The 26439-nt window shown below is 46.5% G+C and overlaps 1 protein-coding gene and 1 long non-coding RNA gene across 3 annotated transcripts, besides 1 other annotated feature; both read left to right on the forward strand.

Moving 5' to 3' along the window:
- Nucleotides 189-690: an enhancer, noted in NCBI's record as "H3K27ac hESC enhancer chr19:36055715-36056216 (GRCh37/hg19 assembly coordinates)". NCBI's record gives its function as "activates a minimal SCP1, AML or CMV promoter by ChIP-STARR-seq in primed H9 embryonic stem cells {active_cell/tissue: H9 hESC(primed)}" and the evidence as "EXISTENCE:reporter gene assay evidence [ECO:0000049][PMID:30033119]".
- Nucleotides 11017-17332, forward strand: LOC124904704 (uncharacterized). The gene is made up of 2 exons (XR_007067243.1): nt 11017-11155; nt 17228-17332. It is a non-coding gene; the product is annotated as an uncharacterized LOC124904704 (long non-coding RNA).
- A 4204-nt stretch (nt 17333-21536) lies between these two features.
- Nucleotides 21537-22672, forward strand: PMIS2 (PMIS2 transmembrane protein). Of its 2 annotated transcripts, none has more exons than NM_001395411.1 (2): nt 21537-21917; nt 22397-22582. In NM_001395411.1, exons 1-2 carry the CDS (start codon nt 21636-21638, stop codon nt 22520-22522), a joined length of 408 nt encoding a protein of 135 aa, NP_001382340.1. In that variant the 5' UTR covers nt 21537-21635; the 3' UTR covers nt 22523-22582. The 2 variants fall into 2 exon arrangements, with proteins under 2 accessions (NP_001382340.1, NP_001382341.1); NM_001395412.1 differs by having other exon boundaries at nt 21549-21917; nt 22352-22672.
- Nucleotides 22673-26439: the final 3767 nt, after the last annotated feature.

Here is a 26439-nt window from a genome sequence, read left to right on the forward strand (position 1 = left end):
AACGTCTAAGAATTAGGGACAGGGTTCCAGCCCGGGCTTGACCCCAGGGCTTGACCCCAGAGCCTAGCTCTTCTATGGCACCACCAATGGAAAAACCCAAACTTCACTGCAGCAGCACCACACACATGCCAGGCTCTGCACGTGTGACCTCACGGGTCTTTGCAAAAAACCCTGTGCAGGCAGAACTATCATTCCTGTTGTGCAGAGGGGGAAACTGAGGCTCACAGGGACTCACATATCCAGCTACAGACTTTACAGCTCTCAACCATTCCCCGTCCCTACCCTAGATGGGGAAACCAAGGTGCAACATGGGGAAAGGATGTGTCCAAGGGTCTTGGCTTGATCTTGGTGTTGGGTGACAGATGCCAGGAGGCCTGGGGACTCCCTCCTCATCCCTCAGGTAGGGACCTCCATGGGCAGCAGCAGCGAGGGGCTGGGCCAGTGGAATGGTGGGGACCTTGGTATGTTATGGGGTGAGCGTGTCTCCAGGAGCAGGTGAGCGTGCGCCTGATAAGATAACTGCCCTGGCAATGTCCTTCTCTACTGGGGCAGGTCACCTGGGAAACTCAAAGCTGTTGGGCAGCCAGAGCTCCTCCCCGCACCCACACGGCTGGTCATCCCCAGCCTGCTAGAAGAAACCTCCAAAGAAGAGGTGGCGTGGGGCCACATGCTGTCCTTGTAGTGAATCTACTCGCTCACTGGGCTCCCATCAGCTCTGAGCCATGTATGTCAAACAGCTTGTGTCACCCCCTGCTTACAACCCTCCAAAGCCTTCCCTTCCCACTCAGAATAAACTCTGCACTCCTTCCTGCAACATCTGGCCCTGGTCACCTGTCCTGCCTCTGTTGCTGCTAGGTTTCCAGGGGCACTGACCTCTCTGCTGCACTTTGCACAGACCAAGGTCGTTCCTGCTTCAGGACCTTGGTACTTACAGTTCCTTCTGCCTGGGCCCCCTTCCTTAGATGTCTGCACTGGCTTTCTCACCTCTTTCAGGTCTCAGCTCAAATGTCACCTCTTCAGAGAGTCCATTCTGTAATACTGCACACTGTGTTCTGTTCCTTTACCCCACTGTATTTACACCTCCTACTCCAACCTGACACTGTGTTTTCTTTTTATTTGTTTGGTGTTCATTAGAAGGAGGACTGGGCCGGACACTGTGACTCACATCTGTAATCCCAGCACTCTGGAAGGCTGAGGTGGACGGATCATGAGGTCAGGAGTTCGAGACCAGCCTGGTCAACATGGTGAAACCCTGTCTCTACTAAAAATACAAAAATTAGCTGGATGTGGTGGTGTGTGCCTGTAATCCCAGCTACCAGGGAGGCCGAGGCAGGAGAATCACTTGAACCTGGGAGGTGAAAGTTGCAGTGAGCCGAGATCATGCCACTGCACTCCAGCCTGGGTGACAGAGTGAGACTCTGTCTCAAAAAAAAAAAAAAAAAAAAATAGAAAAATAGATAGATAAGAGATGTTAGACAGATAGATGGATACATAAATGATAGATGATTGATAGATTTTTTTTTTTTTTCTTTTTGAGACAGAGTCTTTCTCTGTCGCCCAGGCTGTAGTGCAGTGTCATGATCTCGGCTCACTGCAACCTCTGTCTCCTGGATTCAAGCAATTCTTGTGCCTCAGCCTCCCAAGCAGCTGGGATTACAGGCACCCGCCACCATGCCCAGCTAATTTCTGTATTTTTAGTAGAGACGGGGTTTCACCATGTTGGCCAGGATGGTCTAGAACTCCTGGTCTCAAGTGATCCACCCGCCTTGGCCTCCCAAAGTGCTGGGATTACAGGTGTGAGCCACCATGCCTGGCCAGAATTTTTTAAATTTTTGGCTGAATCATTTGGAAGCAAGTTGGAGACAGGATCCCCTTTATCCATACTTAGGCATGTGTCTTCTATGAATAAGGACATTTTCTTACATAAGCACAGTCTAATAATCAAATTCAGGAAATTAACATTAATAAAACACTAGTAAATAATCTAGAGCAAGCTTGTCCAACCCATGGCCTGCAGGCCATATGTGGCCCAGGACTGCTTTGAATGCTGCCCAATACAAATTCGTAGACTTTCTTAAAACATTATGAGATTTGTTTGCGATTTTTTTTTTTTTTAGCTCATCAGCTATTGATAGTGTTAATGTATTTTATGTGTGACCCAGGACAATTCTTCTTCCAATGTGGCCCAGGGAAGCCAAAAGATTGGACACCCATGATTTGGAGGATTTATTTGAATTTCCCCAGTTTTCCCACTAATGTCCTTTTCCTAGTCCAGGATCCAGTCCGGGACCACACCTCACATTTTGGCTTCCTCCATTGCGTAACAATTCCTCCATCTTTCCTTGTCTTTCATGACCTGGGCGTTTTGGAAGAGTATGATTCAGTGATTTTGTAGACTTCGCTCAGTGTGGCTTTGCTGCTGGTTCTTCGTGATTAAGTTCGGGTTGTGTGCTGGCAGGAACACAGAAGGGATGTGTGTCCCCCCCATCCCCTGCCCCAGAGCATCATCGTGTCAGGCCATGCCCCATTTTGGAGTCTGTAACTTGTCTAGAGCAGGGTGGACATGGTGGGGAGGGGTCTCAAGAGCCTTAGGGAGTGATCAGGAAACCATTCTATGCCCTCTTTAATTTTTACTCAAGACAGTGCCACAGCCAGGGCTGGCACCCAGCTGCCCTGGTAGTTAAAGTAATTGAAAGAAATACAGCCACTGCCTGAGCCCCCAGCACTTCCCCTAAGACTCCAGACCTCCCACACCCAACCCCTTAAAGTGGATGCCTGTGCCAGTCCCAAGGCCTTGTCCTTTTTTTTTTTTTTTTTTTTTGAGACGGAGTCTGGCTCTGTCACCTAGGCTGAAGTGCAGTGGCACGATCTTGGCTTACTGCAACCTCCACCTCCTAGGTTCAAGCGATTCTCCTGCCTCAGCCTCCCAAGTAGCTGGGACTACAGGCACGTACCACCATGCCCAGCTAATTTTTGTATTTTTAGTAGAGATGGGGTTTTGCCATGTTGGCCAGGCTGGTCTCCAACTTCTTACCTCAAGTAATCTGCCCACTTCAGCCTCCCAAAATGCTGGGATAACAGGTGTGAGCCACCACGCCCAGCCACCCTTGTCCATTCTGACCATCCCCTGCTCAGCTAGGTTCATGGGTAAATACTTTTACCTACTCCCCTAATTTTGCAGTCTTCAGATGGTATGCAAGTTGTGTGTTTTTGTGGGGAAGGTCTTTGCTTGGGTCATTTATTATTTTACCGTGTGTCTAAGCAATACTAACCCCTGTCTCTGGGAGGTGAACACTGAGGCCTTAGTCCACAGGCAGGATCTGGATAAGTTGGGAAGTGTTCCAAGTCTTTGGCACCCTGGAATGCAGCCTGGGTGGACCGCACGATGCCATTTCAGGCGGATGGACAACCCCTAGCACAACTCAGGGGCAAAGAAACTTCTCACAAGAATGTTGCAAGTGTGACATGGTCCACAGTAGTGCAAGTTTCTCTGAGCCTGGGGCACACAGAACGTTGGAAACTTTTTTGAGAACAATTAGTGGTCAGAATTGAAAAAAATTTTCTTTTCTTGAGAAAGAGGGGCAGAGGACAGACTATTAAATGGACGGTGGTCCAGGAGCAGTGGCTCATACCTGTAATCCCAGCACTAGGAGGCTGAGGCGGGCATATCACTGGAGGTCAGGAGTTCGAGACCAGCCTGGCCAGCATGGTGAAACCCTGCCTCTACTAAAAATACAAAAATCTGGCCGGGCGCAGTGGCTCACGCCTGTAATCCCAGCACTTTGGGAGGCCAAGGTGGGTGGATCACGAGGTCAGGAGTTCAAGACCAGCCTGACCAACAGGGTAAAACCCCGTCTCTACTAAAAATACAAAAATCAGCTGGGCATGGTGGCGCATGCCTGTAATCCCAGCTACTCAGGAGGCTGAGGCAGAAGAATCGCTTGAACCTGGGAGGTGGAGGTTGCAGTGAGCCAAGATTGCGCCATTGCACTCCAGCCTGGGTGACAGAGTGAGACTGCATCTCAAAAAAAATAAAAAATAAAAAATAAAAAAATTTGCCAAGTGCAGTGGCGGGTGCCTGTAGTCCCAGCAACTCGGGAGGCTGAGGCAGGAGAACCTCTTGAATCTGGGAGGCGCAGGTTGCAGTGAGCCAAGATTGCACCACTGCACTCCAGCCTGGGCGACAGAACAAAACTCCGTCTCAAAAAAAAAAAAAAATGTGGATGGTGAACATTACTTGGGTTTGAAGGGGAATTTGAACAATAATGTCCTAGAATTGTAGCCATACACACTCTTAGGAACCCAGCGCCCTGTAAACCTTGATGGGATCAGACCCCTGGCTATTCCTCCTCCTTCCCATGTTCTACTTTTCCCTTTCATGCTTTGGGATCCTGCCCGCCCAGGCCTTCTGCTTTTCCAAAGGATCATTTCAAAACCTCAGCACATGCAATTTCCTCTACCTGAAGTGTGCACCCTACCTCCTCCCCATGTTTAACCACTCCTCACCTTTCCTGTTAAGCACAGATGATCCTTCCTCCGGGAAGCCTTGGACTACCCACCAGGCTGAGTCAGGCACCTCCCTGGGCTTCCACAGACCCCTGGGGTCCCCATCACAGCCCCCACCTCCCTGCCTGTGCTTCCCCCATCCCAGTCCTGACGACTCTGACCCTATAATTCCTCCATCACAGCCCTGACCACTCTGGGCTGTCATGCTTTGGTGACATTTCATCTCCCCCTCCAGATCCATGAGGGCAGGACCCAGGATGTCTCAGTCACCACTGTGTGCCCTGCATTGCCTGGCCCAGGCTGGCCTTGGGGAGTGTTTGCCAAGTGACAGGAGTCATTGTGACTGTGACTTTGGGTACAGTGTTTGCATCTCCCTGATAAGATAATGGGCCCAGCAATGCCCTTCACCTCCTGAGCAGGTCACCCCGCCCCCTCGACCCTGGGAGGATGAAAGCAAGGGGCTGGGCATACAGGGACCTTGCTTCTCCCGCCTCTCCAGGCCAGGTGCAGGGGCAGGTGGTCAGAATTGAAAAAATTGTCTAGGAGTCAAGGAGTTGGCCCCCAGCCCAGCTAAGCTGGCAGCCAGGCCCCTGCGTTCTGTCCCTCTCCCATCTTTGTGCAGATTGGAAAGGTCAGCCATCCTGGGCTGGGTGCAGAGCCCTTCACTTCTTCAGGAAATTTCCAGGCTGTACTTGCTCTGGGATTTTAAAAAATCATATTCAGGGCCGGGCGCAGTGGCTCACACCTGTAATCCCAGCACTTTGTGAGGCCGAGGTGGGCAGATCACCTGAGATCAGGAGTTTGAGACCAGCCTGGCCAATATGGTGAAACCCCGTCTCTGCTAAAAATACAAAAATCAGCCAGGCATGGTAGCGGGCGCCTGTAATCCCAGATACTCGGGAGGCTGAGGCAGGAGAATCACTGGAACCTGGGAGGTGGAGGTGGCAGTGAGCCGAGATTGTGCCACTGCACTCCAGCCTGGGCAACAGAATGAGACTCCAGCTCAAAAAAAAAATAAAAATAAAAAAAATAAGGGTACTGGTGGAGAGACTTCCTCCATGGGATGGGGCAAGGGCAGAGCGCTGATGTCCAAATCCAAGCTCAAAGATTCCCAGGGGAGCAAGGAGGCCTTGTGGTTCCTAGAACTGTGAAGGGTACAGGGCGATTGCAAGAGGGCTTCTGGCTCGTGGGTCTCCTGCTTCTGGGCTGTCTGCTGTCACAAGAACCTGCAGGATCATTAACAAGCTCAGAACGATGGCCCTGATGCTGAAGCCCAAAGCTAGCCTGGAATTTCTCTTTGTGCTGACCTCGTTTTCCAAACGGCTCACTATCCGTGCCTATGGAGATGAAGACAGGCCGATGGGGGTGTTTTTCTAAGAAGGGGTGAAATTGCAGAAGGGCCACCTGGAGTGAAACTGAAGGCCATGATCAGGGTTGGGGGAGGGAGGATTCAGCAGAGGAGAGGAGGAGGCAATGCAGGAAGACAGTGCGGGGATCCTGGGCACGCCCAGGTAGGAGGGCATGCTGGGAGACCTTGGGAAGAAGTGGGGTTGGCAGACTGTGAACAAAGTGGGGACAAGTCCCAGGGCAGCAGGAAGGGTGGGATGGAGAAGGGGTTGGGGCTGGTATCTAGAGAAGAGGGGAAGCTTCCGAGGCATCCATGGAAAGGGGTATAAGGTGGGTCAGGGGATGTTTCACCATGGGGGACAGAGGGTCACTCTCCACCCACCAAGCAGGATGGCACAATGGCAAGTATTCCTAGCAGGAAGAAACAAAAGATGAAAAAGATGCAGAGAGGCAGGCAGTCATTCACAGGAACACTTAAAGGCATTTTGTAGATGGTCATCTCCATGACTTTGACCTCTGGGCTCCGGAGGTCAGTCACACAGGCATGAACCCTGGTGGAGGGAGGGGCAGGGTCTGCAGAAGGACTGAGAAGGATCAGCAGATGCGAAGGAATGGGGACCAACAGAATCAATCCCATCAACAGGAATGTGCTGGGAACACTCAACCCACAGTGAACTTGGCCTTTGTTGTGGGAAAAGAACCCTGCAATGCCCCCACTGACCTCTATGATACCCTTGCTAGCCCTCAAAGTATCCTGTTGGCTGCTTTTTTTTTTTTTTTTTTTGAGATGGAGTCTCACTCTGTCACCCAGGCTGGAGTGCAGCGGTGTGATCTCAGCTCACAACAACCTCCACCTCCTAGGTTGGGATCCTCCCACCTCAGCTTCTTGAGTAGCTGGGATTACAAGCATGCACCACCATGCCCAGCTAATTTTTGTATTTTTAATAGAGGCAGGGTTTCACCATGTTGGCTAGGCTGGTCTCAAACTCCTGACCTCAAGTAAATCACCCACCTTGGTCTCCCAAAGTACTGGGATTACAGGCATGAGCCACCGTGCCCAACCCCTGTTGTCTTCTTCTGTCTCCCTAAACCCATCCCTGTTCTCCAGGAAGCACTACCTCTTGGTTTGCCAGTGCTTCCAGTTAGGTCTGGTCCTAGCAAGTTATTCTGAACTCCCCTTTCAGTCTAAAAAATGCTCAGTTTGAATTTTAAATCCAGTCACTCATTGCTTTAATCCAGTCACTCAATGGGGATAAGTTCTGAGAAATCCAGTCACTCAATGGGGATAAGTTCTGAGAAATGCATTGTTAGGTGATGTCATCATTGTTTGAACATCATAGCTTGTACTCACACAAACCTAAATGGAGAGCCTACTGCACACCTAGGCTATATGGGATAGCCTTTTGCTCCTAGGCTACAAACCTGCACAGCACCTTACTGTATTGAATACTGTAGGCAACTTATAACACAATGGTAAGTATTTGTGTATCTAAACATATCTGAACATAGAAAAGATACAGTAAAAGTACAGTATAAAAGATAAAAGTGGTATACATCTGATATGATTTGCTGTGTCCCCACCCAAATCTCATCTTGAATTGTACCTCATCTGCCTGAATCAGTGCTGAACCACTGAGGCTTAAAACAGTGCCTGGCACTGTTACCCAATAAATGTTCATTGAATATATGAGAGTCCCATGGTATCTGGCAACGTGGACACACAGGAGATGTGAACATGTGGGCACACATACGTGCATGCAACAGATGAATCAGAAAGTGGAAACCTCCTCATAAACTTTACTGCTCTTAAAAATGCTGATGGATGAAGGGGTGGGTTACAGATTAATAGCATCTCAAGGCAGAAGAATTTTTCTTAGTACAGAACAAAATGGAGTCTCCTGTGTCTACTTCTTTCTACACAGACACAGTAACAATCTGATCTCTCTTTCTTTTCCCCATATTTCCCCCTTTTCTTTTCAACAAAACCGCCATCGTCATCATGGCTCTTTCTCGATGGTCGCTGTCTCTTCGGAGCTGTTGGGTACCCCTGCAGACTAACAACAGACAGAACAGGCACACAAGGATTAATATGAAATTTATAATTATAGTACTTCCGATGGTCTTAACCCAAGTGACAGGGTTAAGATTTACGAGGCCATCAGCAACTCCTGCAATTGCCTCAGTTCCTGGCACCAAATTTAAATGGGCTTTTGATGTTTTGGAAATTTGTTCTTTTAATTTGGAAATGTCTAAAGTGAGATTATCTTCTCTTCCCTGTAGATGGCGTCTAACCATGTCCCAGTGATGCTCAGACTCATTATAAACTTGGGGTGTAATACAAAAATCTGACGTATTCCAGTCACACTGTAACTGGAAACGATGTTCTAAGCTCATGAGCCTGTCTCCCATCCAAATGACAGTTTGTCTAAGATCATTAATTTGGTTTGCCAATTTTTGATCAATACTAGATTGTGAATTCCACAATCTTGTAGAACTTTTTTGCCAATCATTAACAAAGTTTACTGACTGAACAGAAGAGTGCAATGCAACTCCTGCCACAGCAGCCATAGCTGTGACTGCAATTAATCCCATAATCACTGTAATTAAAGTAAAAATGAATCTTTTGGATCTATTTAAAACGCCTTTTAATACTTCAGTCAAAATATGAACGGATGGTGAGGCCTCCCACAGTCGGTCCATGGACACAAGGATCCACACGCCTTCCCTTGCTCTCACCAGCAGAATACGGTGTTGCCAATTAAAAGTTGAATCAATGCAAGTAAACAATCTGCAGTTTTCACAGGTTATAGTTTGAGAGTCTGGTTTAATAACTATATTTCCTATAACTAGCATATAAAGGGACTTTACACAGCTTTGTAAAGGAACTGTTAGACTGGAATTTAGGTCGATAGTATAAAATGGCTTATGATCTCGTTTCTAAAGTTTGATTTCCAGACCAAATTCTAATGTAGTATGAGGCTACACTAAGCCTCCACCATTCTGGATGTTCAGGACCAGAAACAGGACTTATTATTTTTGGTCATGGGGTAGAGATTCCTTTTTCTCCCCATTTCCAAGGGTAGAAAGACTGTAATTTTTTATGCTTATGTTCGTCTAAACTTTCTATGAAGTCGCTATCAACAGTTGGACTCACTTGTGCACTGGGACACGACTGAGTTTGTCCTGTGCAATTGTGGTAGAATTGACCTCGAGGTGCCCAATCTATAATAGTTCGGAATTCACTGTTTTGTAATATCACTGCACTATTGGCCACACATTCTTCCCAAACTAAAGCTTCTACATTTTTTGATCCTTTGGAAATTTCCTCGGGGCAAGGTTTCCCTTTAGGTCTAAATTTTAATGATCTTTGATAAGAAAAGTCTTGTAAATAATTTACCTGTGGCCTGAGCGACATCCCGCTTACCATGTGATAAGTGAATCTTCTGATGGGACTGACAGTAGGTACTTCTACCAACCAATTTTGGACTGCAGGCATTAAACATCCTGGTGCTCTCCCCAGGCAAATAGGAGGATAATGATACCCAATGAAAATATTTATCATCATCCCTTCTTCCTCAGGTTTGGCAGGGCAACGATCATCTGTTGGACCAGGTACCCATACACTATCATTAACATATACTTCCATAGGATTATCCATCCATGTGACTGCCTGAATTAAGGGCGGGAAAGGCACATAGGCCCAGTAATTATAATTAGCTGCAGCTGCTCCTGCAGGCATAGGGAGACTTACCACCATTGATACAATCATCAAAGCTGCAAGCAGCATACTCTCTGGAGTTTGTGTCACCTTTGTGTTCTCTAGATATTTTGTAGCTAACTGTGTCAGCTTCTTTAATTGTGCCCAAGTCAGCAGCTCTGCCTTCTTGGTGGATGGCAACTTCATCTGTTCTTCTGACATCACCATTCTGTTCATCTTCTGAGTCGATGGTTCTCGATGACGGTGCTCGATTGCGGTGTCTCCGTCTCCGTGGAGGTGCTTTTCTTTGCATCTCTGATGGGTTCATTGTAGAACTTCAAATGTCTAGTGGGTATCCAAACAGGACGCTGATTTTCTCCTGGTGAAACGCAAGCAAAACCTCTCCCCCACGTTACCACCTTCCATATTTCCCATGTCTTATTTTTATTATCTTTCCACCAAATCAGTTTTCCTTCATGTGGGCTGTTCTTTTTACCAGTAAGATGTTCTGCAGAAGTAGTAGTCTGATTTCTATAAATGTTTAAAAAATTTAAAGTATAGAGTGCTAGACTAAGTTGCATCTGAGGAGTGGTACACTCCTTACTGTCTCCCCCTTCTTTTTGTTTAACTAATTGAGTTTTGAGTGTTCTATTAGTTCTTTCAACTATGGCCTGTCCTTGGGAATTATAGGGAATTCCTGTTGTATGTGTAATTTTCTTGGAAAGCTTTACTACAGTATCCTGGTCCATTGTTAGTTTTGATTTTTTCTGGAACTCCCATTACAGCAAAACAAGATAATAAATGTTTTTTAACATAAGAAGTACTTTCTCCTGTCTGGCAAGTTGCCCATATGAAATGTGAATAAGTATCAACTGTTACATGAACATATGATAATCTTCCGAATGAAGGTACATGTGTGACATCCATTTGCCATAACACATTAGGACACAGACCTCTGGGATTAACTCCTGCCTCTTGAGTGGGCAGGTGTAGGACTTGACACTGGGTGCAATGTGGTACAGTATCTTTTGCCTGTTTCCATGTGACATCAAATTTGTTTTTTAATCCTGCTGCATTTACATGAGTTAAAGCATGAAGTTCTTGTGCTTTTATGAATGCAGATGATACCAGTAAGTCAGCTTGTTAATTTGCTTTAGTCAAAGGCCCTAGTAAATTAGTGTGTGCTCGAATATGAGTAACATAAAATGGGAAATTTCTTTTTCTTACAGTTTGTTGTAATAAATTGAATAGCTGGTTTAACTGATCATCCATGCTATATTTGATTAGAGCTGTCTCAACATCCCTTGTAGCCTGTACTACATATGCAGAATCTGATACAATATTGATAGGTTGATCAAAATCTTGTAACACTGTAATGACTGCAACCAACTCTGCTCTTTGAGTCAATTGATATTGAGTTTTGATTACTCGCTCATCAGACCCCAGAAAAGGTGTTGGTTGATATAGACAGCAGGACGGTGGCCATGGAAGTCAGAATCCACTAAGGAGTGTGTAACAACTCACCTGCCGAATCAACTAGCCCTGAAAATGGATGGCACTGGAGCATCAGGCCCATACCCGGCCATCGCCAGCAGTCAATGGAATGTGAGTGCCTTAGAGGTCTTGGGGCCGAAACGATCTCAACCTATTCTCAAACTTTAAATGGGCAAGAAGCCCAGCTAGCTCAGTCGGTAGAGCATAAGACTCTTAATCTCAGGGTTGTGGATTCGTGCCCCATGCTGGGTGCCAGATGAAGAGGTGAGTTGCCCCTAAAAAGGATACCCTATTCCTTCTCTTTCTTAATTTCTTTTAGTCTCAATTGGGACTTTAATGCCATTTTCATTTTTTCCTAGTCCCTTTCCTGGTATATATCCCATCTCAGTCATGATTTTTTGATTTGCGGGGCTGTATAATGGAGCAGGCATAGTGATTTCCGCACCCCGTTGTTGTAATAAATCTCGACCCCACAGATTAAGAGGAATCGAAGTAGTCATTGGCTGAACAGTACTTTCTTGATTATCTGACCCTAAACAATGTAAAATCTTAGTACTTTGATACACTTCTGAGGCTGTGCCTACGCCGATAAGTCCTATAACAGCCTTTGTTTAGGCCAATTTTTTGGCCACTGATTGAAAGCAATGATAGAGACATCTGCTCCAGTGTCTACTAACCCTTCAAACTGTTTTCCTTGAATAATGGCCTTACACACAGGTCTGTTTTCTGAGACCTGACTTGCCCAATATGCAGCCTTTCCTGTCGGATCAGTGCTTCCAAACTCTCCTATTCTTTTTATTTTACTATTTCCAATCTTAATATAAGGCAGGAGTAATAACTGAGCAATCCTGTCTCCTGGACAGGAGGGGGGACTTCCTCCAACACAGGCAGTCACTGATGTCCTAGTTCAAATGCTCCAGGGGGAACAGTCCATTACTCACTGAGGGAGGCAGGCTTTCCTATTTTCTGTTTCAAGCTTTTGATCACAATGGAGCAAATGATCACAATGCAGCCCACCAGGATGCTGGTGATGCTGAATCCAAAAAGTAGTCTGGAATTGATCTGTGCTTTTCTCTGATTCCCAAGGAAGTTGGCTTCCTGGGTCTGTGGGGGTAAAGGCAAGCTGGTGTGAATGTTTCCAAGATGGGGAGGGGGAAGAAAATCCCTGGGGAGAGGTGAAGAGGGCAAGATCAGGATGATGGCATGATGGAGGTCAGGGCAGGGCTCAGTCTCCCAGAGGAAAAAGGAAGAAACCAGGGAGCCAGGATGAGGGAGTAGATCTAGGCAGAATACAGAGGGAGGAGCAGAGAGGTGGCCCTGGAGAGGTGCAAGGGCAAGCAGATGGTGAAGAGGGAGGAGGCAAATCCCCGAGAAACACGAAGAGGTCCCTGGGGAGAAGCAGGGCATCGGCAGGAAAGAGAAAGAAGATCTGGGGACAAAGAGAGTTGGTAGCTGGGTGGTGCCCATCCTGAGGGAGAACACCAGAGCGGGGATTGCCAGCAGGACGCAGAAGAAGGATACGACAGCGAGCAGTAAATAGTCTCTTTCTGGAGGACACAAGGGCATCAGGGTGACTGGTTGCATTGGGGCGAGCAGCTGCACTGGGATGAAGGGCTGCATGGGGATGAGTGGCTGCATCGGGGTGACCAGGGACTTCAAGTCCCTGGGGCTCATTGCAGTAGCCATAGGCCTTGGCCTGAGGAGGAGATGCTGGGTGAGTGGAATCTGCAGACAGGGGTCATGGGGTCCGGGAAGGGGACATCTGAGTCCCCAAGCAACTGAGACCACCCAAACCAACCCCTCTGGCTAGAAAGGTACTGAAAGTTGACACTGTCCCAAGCCAGGGGACAGCGCTCCAAGCCAGAACCCACCACAGCCCCGTGCTCCTGTAGAGTAGCCTTGCTGGCTCTGGAACACCCACGCCACCCTCCTCTAGCCTCTCACAACCCCCTCCCTGCTCCCCTCTGGCTGTTGCACTTTCCTCCTCTAAACTCTCCCTACCCCTCCTTGCCCCGCAAACTCACACACCCCCACTGTTTTCTCAGCCTCCCAAAGTGCTGGAATTACAGGCGTGAGCCACTGTGCCCGGCCTATTTATTTATTTTTTGTAGAGGTCTCACTATGTTGCCCAGTCTGGTCTTGAACTCCTGGCCTCAAGCAATCCTCCTGCCTCGGCCTCCCAAAATGTTGGGATTACAGGCGTGAATCACTGTGCCCAGCCACTCTTCCTTTTTGTTGTTGTTGCCAGTTTGAACGCCTGATGGGTTCAATATATAGTGTGTGGATCTCACATCCAGATTGAATATAAGTATAATGGGCAGATTTATCACTATTAGGAGGCTACTGTACATTAGGCCCAGGCTGGCCCCTGAGGGCCACATGGTAACTAAGGCAGACAAGACCATAACTCAGATAGAATAATAGTCTCCAATCCCATCCAGGTTGCTGTGAATGCCATTAATTCATTCCTTTTCATGGCTGAGTAGTATTCCACCATATATATATGTAAAATCAGTTTCTTTATCCACTCATTCATTGATGGGCATCTGGGTTGGCTCCACATTTTTGCAATTGCAAATTGTGCTGCTATAAACATGTGTGTACAAGTATCTTTTTCACATAATGACTTCTTTTCCTTTGAGTAGATACCCAGTAGTGGGATTGCTGGATCAAATGGTAGTTCTACTTTTAGTTCTTTAAGGAATCTCCACACTGTTTTCCATAGTTATACTAGTTTACATTCCCACCAGCAATCAGGGAAATGCAAATCAAAACCACAATGCGATACCACCTTATTCCTGCAAGAATGGCCATAATCAAAAACTCAAAAAATAATAGATATTGGCATGGATGGAGTGAACAGGGAACACTTTCCTTGAGTTTTAACTCCAGACTGGCTCCTTTGCTGTTTTTCTGGTGGGGCTCTTACCACATTTCCCACAGCCATTGGCTGTGTGCTCCTGCATACTTGGATGCTCCTCTCCTGCCTGGGCCCCACCAGGACCCCTGAGATCCAGGAGCCGTGGCTTTTGGGGGCTGGTAGAGAAGAAACAGGGAGCTACGTGAAGGCCAATGGCAGAAACCAAGAGAGTTTCAAGAAAGCAAGAAAGAGAAACCAGCTCTGAAAATAGCAAAAGGAACAACGGGAAAAAATAAAATAGTTTCATGTAACCTAAAAACAGACATTGAGTCTTCGAATCAAATTGAAAGCACTTGCTAGCGTCAGAGGCATGTGAACCAGAGCAACTCCATCTTGAATGGGGCTGAGTAAAATGAGGCTGACGTCTACTGGGCTGCATTCCCAGACAGCTAAGGCATTCTAAGTCACACGATGAGATAGGAGGTTGGCACAAAATACAGATCATAAAGACTTTGCTGATAAAACAGGTTACAGTAAAGAAGCCAGCTAAAACCCACCAAAAACAAAAAGTGGCGATGAGAGTAACCTGTGGTCATCCCCACTGCTCATTATACACTAATTAGAATGCATTAGCATGCTAAGAGACACTCCCACCAGCGCCATGGCAGCTTACAAATGCCATGGCAACATCAGGAAGTTACCCTATATGGTCTAAAAAGAGAAGACATGAGGCCAGGCACGGTGGCTCACGCCTGTAATCCCAGCACTTTGGAAGACCAAGGCAGGCAGATAGGGTCACCTGAGGTCAGGAATTCCAGACCAGCCTGGGCAACATGGTGAAACCCTGTCTCTACTAAAAACAGGAAAAATTAACTGGGCATGGTGGCACGCACCTGTAATCCCAGCTACTCGGGAGGCTGAGGCAGGAGAATCTCTTAAACCCGGGAAGCAGAGGTTGCAGTGAGCCAAGATTGTGCCACTGCACTCCAGCCTAGGCAACAGAGCGAGACTCCATCTCGAAAATTTAAAAATAAATAAATAAATAAAGGGGAATATCACAAGCAACGTATGGCAACAAATTAGACAGCTTAGATGACAGCTAAAAATTCTTAGATGAATTACCAAAACCAACTCAAGAAGAAATAGAAAATCTGAATAGATGTATAACAAATAAAAAGAGATTTGTAATTTAAAATACTCCCGCAAAGAAAAGCTCAGGCCTAGATGGTTTCATTGGTGAATTTCACAAAACATTAAAGCATAAATAATATTAATTCTCTACAATCTGTTCCAAAATATGGAGAAAGGGAGCACTTTCCCAGCTTATTATATGAGGTCAGTATTACCCTAATATCAAAGCCAGACAGTGGCATCTCAAGACAACTAGAGACCAATCTCTTTCATAAATATGATATAAAAGTCATTGGTAAAATATCAGTAAGCCCAATACAGCAATATATAAAAAGGGTTATACACCATGATCAAGTGGGATTTACCCCAGAAATGCAAGATTGGTTTAACTTCTGAAAATCAATTAATGTAACACACCATAGTAAAAGAATAAATTTTATTCATTTATTTTAAAGATGGGGTCTCACTCTGTCACCCAGGTGAGATTGCAGCTCACTGCAGCCTCAAACTCCTGGGCTCAAGCAATCCTCCTGCCTTGGCCTCCCAGAGTGTTGGGATTACAGATGTGAGCCGTTGCACCTGCCCCTGTAAAAGAAGACACTTTTTTTTTTTTTGAGATGGAGTCTCACTCTGTCGCCCAGGCTGGAGTGAAAGACTAATTTCCGGGTGGGCGCGGTGGCTCACGCCTGTAATCCCAGCACTTTGGGAGGCCAAGGCAGGTGGATCACGAGGTCAGGAGATCGAGACCATCCTGGCTAACACGGTGAAACCCCGTCTCTACTAAAAAATACAAAAAAATCAGCCAGGCGTGGTGGCGGGTGCCTGTAGTCCCAGCTACTCGGGAGGCTGAGGCAGGAGAATGGCATGAACCCAGGAGGTGGAGCTTGCAGTGAGCCGAGATCATGCCACTGCACTCCAGCCTGGGCGACAGAGCAAGACTCTGTCTCAAAAAAAATAAATAAATAAAAGAAAAGAAAGACTAAATTCTTCCTGGCTAAGATAGGGAACAAAACAAGAATGTTCATTCTCACCACTTTTATTCAACAGTATAGTGGAGGTCCTAGCCAGTACAATTAGTCAATAAAAAGAAATAAAAGGCATCTGGGTTGGAAAGGAAGAAGAAAAAACTGTTTTGACCCACAGTTGACTTAAATTTGCTTGTAGAAAACTCTAATGAATCCACAAATAACTACTAGAAGAAATGAGTCCAGCAATGCTGCACAAGATCAATATCCAAAAATCAATTGTATGTCAATAAGCTACCAATGAACAATCAAAAAATGAAATTAATAAAATGAATTCATTCCCAATAGGATCAAAAAGAATAATAAATTCAGGCTGGGCGTGGTGACTTATGCCTGTAATCCCAGCACTTTGTTAGGCCGAGGCGGGCAGATCATCTGAAGTCAGGACTTCAAGACGAGTTTGGGCAACATGGTGAAACCCTGTCTCTACTAAAAAAAAATACAAAAATCAGCTGGGCATGGTGGCGGGTGCCTGTAATCCTAGCTACTTGGGAGGCTGAGGCAGGAGAATTGCTTGAACCTGGGAAGTGAAGGTTGCAGTGAGCCACGATCGCACCACTGCACTCCAGCTTGGGTAACAGAGAGAGGCTATCTCAAAAAAAAAAAAAGAAGAAATTCAATTAAAAAAAGTAATAAATTTAACAAAAATACAAGAGTTGTACAATAAAAACTATAAATCTTGGCTGGCGGCGTGATGGCTCACGCCTGTAATCCTAGCACTTTGGGAGGCCGAGGTGGGCGGATCATGAGGTCAGGAGATCGAGACCATCCTGGCTAACACGGTGAAACCCCGTCTCTACTAAAAATACAAAAAAATTAGCCGGGCGTAGTGGCAGGCGCCTGTAGTCCCAGCTACTCGGGAGGCTGAGGCAGGAGAATGGCATGAACCTGGGAGGCGGAGCTTGCAGTGAGCCGAGATCACGCCGCTGCACTCCAGCCTGGGCAATAGAGTGAGACTCTGCCTCAAAAAAACAAACAAACAAGCAAACAAACAAACTATAAATCATTCCTTTAAAAATTTAAAGATCTAAATAAATGGAGTGGCATCCCATGTTCATGGTTTGGAAAACTCAATGTTAGCAAAATGGCAGTACTCCCCTAATTGACCTAAAGAGTCAATGCAATCTTTATCGAAACCTCAACTGGCTTGTTTTTTTTTTTTTGCAGAATTTGACAAGTTGATCCTAAAAGTCATGTGGAAATGAAAAGGATGCAGAATAACCTAGCAATGTTGAAAAAGTAAAATAAAGTTGGAGGACTTCCAGTTACCAATTTCAAAATTTATTCCTGATTACAAAGCTATAGGAATAAAGACAGTGTGGTACTGGCATAAGGATGGACGTATAGCTCAATGAAGCAAAATTGAAAGTCCAGAAATAACTTTCATATTTATGGTCAAGTGATTTTTGACAAAAGTGGCAAAACCATTCAATGTGAAAAGGAGATCCAACAAATGGTGCTAGAACAATTGGATCTCTCTCTCTCTCTCTTTTTTTTTTTTTTTCTTTTTGGAGATGGAGCCTCGCTCTGTCACCCAGGCTGGAGTGCAGTGGCATGATCTCAGCTCACTGCAACCTCTGCCTCCCGGGCTCAAGCAATTCTCCTGCCTCAGCATCCCAAGTAGCTTGGGGCTACAGGTAACCACCACCAAGCCCAGCTAATTTTTGTATTTTTAGTAGAGACAGGTTTCACCATGTTGGCCAGGCCAATCTTGAACTCCTGGCCATTATTTTCAAATGATTCTCACATGCTCTGAACCCCACTCATTCATCATTATTATCTCTTTTTTTTTCTTGAGACAAGGTCTCCCTCTTGTCCAGGCTGGAGTAGAGGGGTGCGACCATGGCTCACCACAGCCTCAAATTCCTGAGCAAAAGCAAACCTCCCATCACACCCTCCCAAGCAGCTGAGAATACAGAAGCCTGCCCTCAGAGCCTGATATATATATATATCTGTCTAAAATATATACATTTTTTTTCTAGATACATGGTCCCACTGTATTGATCGGGCTAGGTTTCACTATCCTGGTCTCATGTGATCCTCTCCCCTTAGCCATTATCACCTTATAGAGTGCACATTTTGTTCCATGCACTGTTCAATACCACTTACATACATTAATTTAATCCTCACAATGAAACAAGAGAGAAATAATTATTATTCTCATTTTAAAGATGAGAAAACTGGTACACAGAGAGGTTGCACAAGGTGATATTGCTAGTTAGTGGCATGGTGGGGATCCAAACCTAGGTAGTCTAGTTCCAAGGTGTGTTTATTCAGCCCATGTTTACTGAGCACCTACTACTATGTGTTGGGCTCTGCTCTAGGTGTTAGAGCTATAGACAGTATAAAAGAACTACCTCGCCCCCATTAAGACATCTCTCCTGGCTGGGCATGGTGGCTCATTCCTGTAATCCTAGCACTTTGGGAGGCCAAGGTGGGTGGATCACTTGAGGTCAGGAGTTCAACACCAGCCTGGCCAACGTGGTGAAACCCCATATCTACTAAAAATACAAAAATAAGCCAAGCATGGTGGTGGGCACCTGTAATCCCAGCTACTCGGGAGGCTCAGGCAGGAAAATCACTTAGAACCCAGGAGGTGGAGGTTTCAGTGAGCCAAGGTTGCACCATTGCACTCCGCCCTGGGCAACAAGAGCAAAACTCCATCTCAAGAAAAAAAAAAAAAAAAGACATCTCTCCCATATCTCTCTCTTATTGAGACATGGTCTCTCTCACCTTTCCCACCAAAAATTTTTTTTAAAAAAACAAAACCCTTTCATCACTCAGCCCCCTCAAGTTATGGATCTGGTTTTTGGTTTTTAATTCCAGAGACAAAAAAGGGGGCAGAACATAGACCCATGCTACCATCTTGACAGAGTCTCCATTTCAGTTCCATACGCTCAAGTCCCTCCTATCTTTAAAACAAACAAGCAAAATCATCATTCTCACCCTTTTGCATCTACCCTAGTCCTGCCTTTCCTGGCTCTTCATAGGCAAACTTTTTTTTTTTTGAAACGGAGTCTCACTCTGTCACCCAGGCTGGAGTGCAGTGACACAATCTTGGTTCACTGCAAACTCCACCTCCCGGGTTCAAGCAATTTTCTGCCTCAGCTTCCCAAGTAGCTGGGATTACAGGCACCCACCACCACATCTGGCTAAATTTTGTATTTTTAGTAGAGACAGGGTTTCACCATCTTGGCCAGGCTTGTCTTGAACTCCTGACCTCGTGATCCACCCACCTTGGCCTCCCAAAGTGCTGGGATTACAGGCATGAGCCACTGCACCCAGCCATAGGCAAAATTCTTGAAGCAAATGTATACACTGTCTCCAATTCCACACCTCACACTCAATCCATGGCTCTCTGAAACCAGGTGTTGGCTTACAACATTCCAGAAACTGGAACCCATGTTCTTCTCAGCTGTGGCACTGCTCTCCTTACTCTTTCGCCTCCAAGCTCTTGGAAGAAATGTCTACATTGTCTATACTACCCCTTTCTTGCTCACTGCCTGGATCCCTGCAATATGGCCACTGCTTCTGCTGATCCTCTGATACTGCCCTTACCAAAGGAGCTAATTCATTCCCGCCTTCAGAGCTGGAGTACATGTCTCAGGGCTTGACACACTTGTCCATGTACTTGTTTCTAAGCCTGTCTTAGTTTGTTTGTTCCACTATCCAAGGGACTTGCCAGCAACCAATACACATGCTTCATCTCACCCAACCTTCACTTCTGTCTTCCCCCACCTCGGCGCCCCATGTTCTGTTGTCCTGGAACATCCACTTGGTCCTTTGAAAGGCTCTGAATCAATTTCCTCCATGAAGAATATCCTGACTTCTGGATTGCATGTGTTGTCACTGTTCTTCTAACTACTTCTAGGTCCAGGACTGGTCTTAAATACCCAGGTTGTGTCTTGGACTAGCCATACTAAGGTCTACATTTGTGGACTGCACAGTGTCACCTCCCACCCACCCCCAACTTCCTGAAAAGTGGCTCCTCAAACCCTCTACTCCCCTAGAACCACCAGCTAAAGGAAGCATCAGCTAAAACCCCACAGTATTAGCATTCATTAAAAGCTCCTACCTGAATCAGCAATTACTATGGTATTTGAAAATGTTCTCTAATGGTGCATAACAAATTCCCCACAGGTATTAACTCACAGTTCTGTAGGTCAGAATGGCTGCTTCTCTGCTCAGAATCTACCAAAGCTAAAATTAAGGTGTCAGCTGGGCTGGGTTCTCATGTGGAGCTCAGGATCCTCTTCCAAATGAATGTGATTACAGCAGGATTCACATCCTTGCTGTTGCAGTACTAAGGACCCCGTTTCCTTGCTGGCTGTCAGCTGGGAGCCATTCTCAGCCAGAGGCTGCCTGGATTCCTCCCTACGTGGCCCTGGTGACATCTTCATGCCAGCAATGGAGACCTTTGCTTGCCTCCAATCCTCTCACACCTGAAACCTCTTTTGCCAGGAAGACTCAGTCCTTTTCAAGAACTCACCTCATTAGGTGAGGCCCCCAGAGGATATTCTTCCTAACTTAAAGTTAACTGATTTCAGACCCTACCTACGTCTGCAAGACGCCTTCCCAGCAGCATACAGACTAGTACTTGACTGAGTGACTGGAGAAGGAGTGTGTACACCAGGGAGCAGGAATCTTCGGGTCATCTCAGAGTTCTGCCTACCACATTGGGGATTTCCTGTTCCATCGTTCCATTAGGTTGTGTTCTACTTTAAGAAAGATCTTCCCCCTTTTCCCCTTCTTTCTCTATTCTTTCCTTTTTTCTTTCTGTCAGCATAAACCAAGGAATTCTTTTTTTTTTTTTTTTTTGTCATTTTTTCTTGAGATGGAGTCTCACTCTGTCACCCAGGCTGGAGTGTGCAGTGTGATCTCGAATCACTGCAACCTCCGCCTCCCGGGTTCAAACGATTCTCCTGCCTCATCCTCCCTAGTAGCTGGGATTACGGGCGCCTGCCACCACACCCGGTTAATTTTTGTATTTTTAGTAGAGACGGGGTTTCACCACGTTGGTCAGGCTAGTCTCGAACTCCTGATCGCAGGTAATCCGCCCGCTTTGGCCTCCCAAAGTGTTGGGATTACAGGCATGAGCCACTGCGCCCAGCCGGAATTCATTTTTAATTCAAGACTTTACAATCCACTTCTGACACTACTCATTTTCCTCCCCTCAGTAAATCTCTTACTCTTACTGGGCGTGTCTAGTTTCTCTCTTCCACAACTCCTGGGAGACCCTCCTGACATCGCCCATCCGCGCAGGCTGCAGAGAGAGATCAGTGGGAGGAGGAGGAGCCGAGAGCCACCACTTAGGCTTCCAACCAATCCCTACCAGGGTGGGCGGAGCCCACTTCCTGATTGGCTGCACTCTCTGTGTCTTGGGGTGGGCGAGAACGGCGGGGCCACGCCCCCTAACTAGGCAGCCAATCAGGACGTGGGGTGCTGGTTTCTCCATTGCGAAGCTTCAGCCTTTGATGGTTTGGGTCCTGGGAGTCTGGTTAGTACAAGGGGAAGCCTAGTGGGTCTGGCGCTCCGTTTTCAAGACACTCGGAGTCCGTCTTTGAGGGGAAAGGTCATGGCCCTGAAACCACCTTCTGCCACCCAGCCTGCTCCCAACGCGCCAGCTACCCCAGACGCCCCCCCTACCACAGGTGATCCAGGTGCTTCAGCTGCCCCAGGTTCTCCCACTACCACAGGTGGTCCAGGTGCCCCAGCTGAGGTGCCCCAGGAGCCGCAAGAGCCTACACAGACACCAGAGGAACTAGCATTTTACGCCCCAAACTACCTATGTTTGACCATCTTTGCTATACTTTTATTCCCTCCATTTGGATTGGCAGCTTTGTACTTCTCTTATGAGGTAAAATAATGCCCAAGTCATAGCCCCCGTCCTTTTTTTTTTTTTTTTTTCTTTTTGAGACCCAGTCTCACTCTGTCCCCCAGGCTGGAGTGCAGTGGTGCAATCTCGGCTCACTGCAATCTCTGCCTTCCCGGTTCCAGCAATTCTCCTGCCTCAGCCTCCTGAGTAGCTGGGATTACAGACATGAGCCACAGTGCCCGGCTCATTTTTGTATTTTTAGTAGAGACGGGGTTTCACCATGCTGGCCAGGCTGGTCTCGAGCTTCTGACCTTGTGATCCACCCGCCTTGGCCTCCCAAAGTGCTGGCATTACAGGCGTGAGCCACTGCACCCAGCCTACCCTGTCCTCCATTTGGCCCCTGCATCTGCTCCTATCCTGGGACCTGCATAGGGGCTTTCCCTCAGTGACTGCAGGTCTCCAACCGTTCTCCCCAGGGTTCCTGGACACAGAAACCCACATCTATGCTTCCACCCCTACAGACTATGAAGGCCAACCAGAACAGTGAATGGGAAGAGGCTTACATCAACTCAGGCCGAACTGGTTGGTTCGGTGCATTCGTGGTAATGATTGGCTTAGGCATCATTTATGGCTTGGTCCTATATTAATGAAGTCTAGGCATAGCAACCCAGGGGTCCGCTCCCCAACCGAGCCACTCACCAAACACTAACCAGCCAAGTCAGCCATCAGGCAAGAAATTCAACCGCTGAGACATCTAGCCAAGAAATCCTCTAACCAAGGAACTCAACATTCAAGAAACCCACCAACCCAGGAACACACAGACCACCTGCCTGTGCTACTTCAACTCACTCAGCTCCAGAGCTGTCTTCGTTCACCCTAGGGGTCCACACTTCATGCCCTAGATCCCTTTAGCTCCTTGACACTGGGCTGTTCTTTCAGAGGAATTTTAAACCAAAAAACTGGAATGGAATGTTCTGGTTTCCTGTGGTGTGTGTGTATGTGTGTGTGTCAACATGCCCATGATTGTTTTCTGGGTCAGTGGTCAGTATCTGTGTTTCCCTGGAGCTGTTTCCTAGACTGTGAAAATCAGAATGTCCCAATGGGGAAGCCCACAGACATAGAATTCAGGCAGATGTCAGTTAAAAACTTACCTCTGACACTGAAAAACTGTATAGCCCTGAACAGATACTTTTCTTGAGCATAGTTCCTTTGTCTCTAAAGCAGGCATAATTGCCAATGTGGGGATGATATTTAGAAATCTGAACTGATGTTTATTCTCTAGGGGTCTTCTCATTTGAGCTGGGATTGGAGATGTCTAGTGTCTCAGAGCAGCAATAAGAAAACAGAAACCTCTTCCAGCTTCTGACATCCAAATGTCAAGCTCTTAGGAGAAGAATGGAAAGTCCTCAAGAAATGCAAATAGCTTTGGCAGAATAGCTGATGAAGACCACCTCTCCCCCCTCCAGAAAGGCATTGGTTCCCCATTCATGGAAAAGGGAATGTAGAGAGAGATTAGACAATAGTACATCCATAAGGTTCCTGGAATCTGCATCTGAGGAAGAGGGGCGTCAGAGACCCCAGCTGTTATCTATAATCCCTCCTCACAGATAAGGCCTAGAGAGGCTCCAAGTTCTCAAAGAAGATATGCTACATGGTGTAGACATTTACAAAGAAATGACCTCAGACAGCCAAGGAGGATACCCCATGGCCCAGCCTAGTGAGAAGAAGGTGGGTTCCATAGGAATCCCAAGTGCCAGGTGGAGACAGAACTGTAGAGGAAAACTAGGGATAAGCAGGGAGCCATCGTGCATGAATCAAAACAGAGATCTAGACTGACACCATGGGCCACAGACACCCCGGGGCTGCCTCTGATGCCCAAGCTTCATGGACAACCCCAAGTTCAGAACCAGATGAATATTTAGCACAATATTTAGCAGAACTAAGTTTCCACCACCATGGAGAATGGGGATTCTCAGTAGAAAGTCAATGGAGCTGCTGGGCAAGAGACTGCTCACTGTCCCCCAGAGCCCATCGCCTCTTTGTTCTGGGAACATTGCCTGGCCACGTCTCAGAGGTTCCCCTCTGCAGCCATGAAATGTGCTTTGGTCCTGTGGAATGTGAGCAGAACTGACATGTACCACAAACAAACCTGGCTTTTCAATGTCTCCTGGGACACTCCTCTAAACTCCTCCTCCCCCGGCCAACGGGGCAAGGGATACCCATGTGATGATTTAGAAGGCCACATGTTGTAGACGTGGCAAAGCCCCCATTAGCCTGGGTCCCTGAACCATTCTAGGAACAGCCTCCCTTCCCCCAACTGCCTCATGTGGTCAAGCAGAAAATAGACTACCATGTTGACAAATGACATGCTTGGCCTGTTTCCACAGCCCAATCCACCCAAACCAGTGCAGATGCAGGAGAATAGAGTTCTATTTCTTGCACATCTGGGATTACAGCTTCAAGTTCATACCCAACAGAGACATCCATCTTGTTGGGTGGTCTATAGGAAATAATAATAGAAGGAAACAACAAAGGCCCTAGTCCACCTTAATTGTAATTGTTGTGATGCTGAGTTTGTCTCCTCTGTGGGCTTGGGTGTCTGGGCAGATCTCATGTGTTTGTGGGACAATGCTCTGGGTTATGGGGATGCCTGCAGATAGGATGATGCCTAATTGTCTGTCATGTTAGCAGATCTAGAGGGTTAGCCATCCCTGTCCCTCTCCAGATCCAGCCCAGGCTGGGCCTGTCACATTCAGCTGCAAAGCCATGTCAGGTTAGGATGGTCCATGTCAACATCAGCAGGCAGACCCAAGTGTCACCTTCTGCTACAGGCCTTGGAAAGCCAGCCAGCCTCCTCCACTTCAGCTCCCAGACTTCATCCAACCTGAATTTCACTCTCGGGTATCCAACTGGTATTTAGCACCAGGTAAACACAAAACGAGGCCAGGCACAGTGGCTCGTGCCTGTAATTTCAATGCTTTGGGAGGCTGAGAGAGGAGGATGGCTTGAGCCCAGGACTTTGAGACCAGCCTAGGCAGCAAGTCGATAGATAACTCTTTTCTACAAAATTTTTCAAAATTAGCCAGGCGTGGTGGCACACGCCTGTAGTCTCAGTTACTCAGGAGGGTGAGGTGAGAGGATCACTTTAGCCCAGGATTTTGAGGCTGCAGTAAGTCATAGTGATACTACTGCACTTCAGCCTGGGGGACACAGCTAGACTTTGTCTCCAAAATAAATAAATGTAAAAAATAAGGCCGGGTGCAGTGGCTCACACCTGTAATCCTAGCACTTTGGGAGACTGAGGTGGGAGGATCACCTGAGGCCAGGAGTTCGAGACCAGCCTGGCCAACATAGTGAAACCCTGTCTCTATAAAAATACAAAAATTAGCCACTGTGGTGGTGCGTGCCTGTAATCCCAGCTACTCGGGAGGCTGAGGCAGGATAATCTCTTGAACCCGGGGGTGGAGGTTGCAGTGAGCAGAGATTGCACCACTTCACTCCAGCCTGGGCGAAGGAGTGAGACTCAACCTCAAAAAAAAAAAAATCTTATCTGACTTTGATTGCATTACAATCAATTTAGTTATCAGTTTTGGGAGATTTAGCATCTTTATGATAAGCCTTCCTATTCATAAATATGATATATCAAATAGGACTTGTACATCTTTAGCTTTATTTTATGTATTATAAGCAATCCTTTTTTCCATTACATAATCTAAATTATTATTGGGGTAGAAGAAAGGTATTGAGTTTCCAATGTTGATATCTTGTGTGGCAAACTTACTGAACTTTCTTGGTGTAATAATTCATCATTTTACACACTTACATTGTCTATGCTAAATTTGAATTATTTCTTAACAATTTTAATACCTCATTATATATGTATTTTTTTAGTTCCTGGGCTAAACCTTTCAGCAAAATATGAATTAGCATCATAATCTTGTTTCCATCCTTGTATGGGTTAGTTCTATTGTTTTACTATTAAGTCAGGCAGTTGATGTAGATTTCTGATAAAAATTTCATCTTTTTTTTTTTTTTTTCTGAAGCAAACTCTGGCTCTGTCACCCAGGTTGGAGTGCAGCGGCACAATCTCAGCTCACTGCAATCTCCGCCTCCCAGGTTCAAGCGATTCTAGTGCCTCAGCCTCTATAGTAGCTGGGACCACAGGCACGCACCACCACTCGGGGCTAATTTTTTGTATTTTTAGTAGAGATGGGATTTCTCTATGTTGGCCAGGCTGGTCTTGAACCCCTGGCCTTAAATTATCTGCCTGCCTCAGCCTCTCAAAGTGGTGAAATTACATGCATGAGCCACCGTGACCAGCCAAAATTTCATCAATTTTGTTATGTTTTCTTCTATTCCTGGCTTGCCAAGATTTTTTAAATTAGAATTTTATATTGAGGCTAGGCACAGTGGCTCATGCCTGTAATTCCAGTACTTTGGGAGGCCAAGGAAGGAGAGTCATTTGAGGCCAGGAATTTGAGACCAGCCTGGGCAACATAGCTAGATCTCGTCTCTACTGAAAAAAGAAAAAAAAATTAGCTAGGCATGGTACCTGTATTCTCAG

This window comes from Homo sapiens, chromosome 19, assembly GCF_000001405.40.
Source record: "Homo sapiens chromosome 19, GRCh38.p14 Primary Assembly".
NCBI classification, from domain to species: Eukaryota; Metazoa; Chordata; class Mammalia; order Primates; family Hominidae; genus Homo; species Homo sapiens.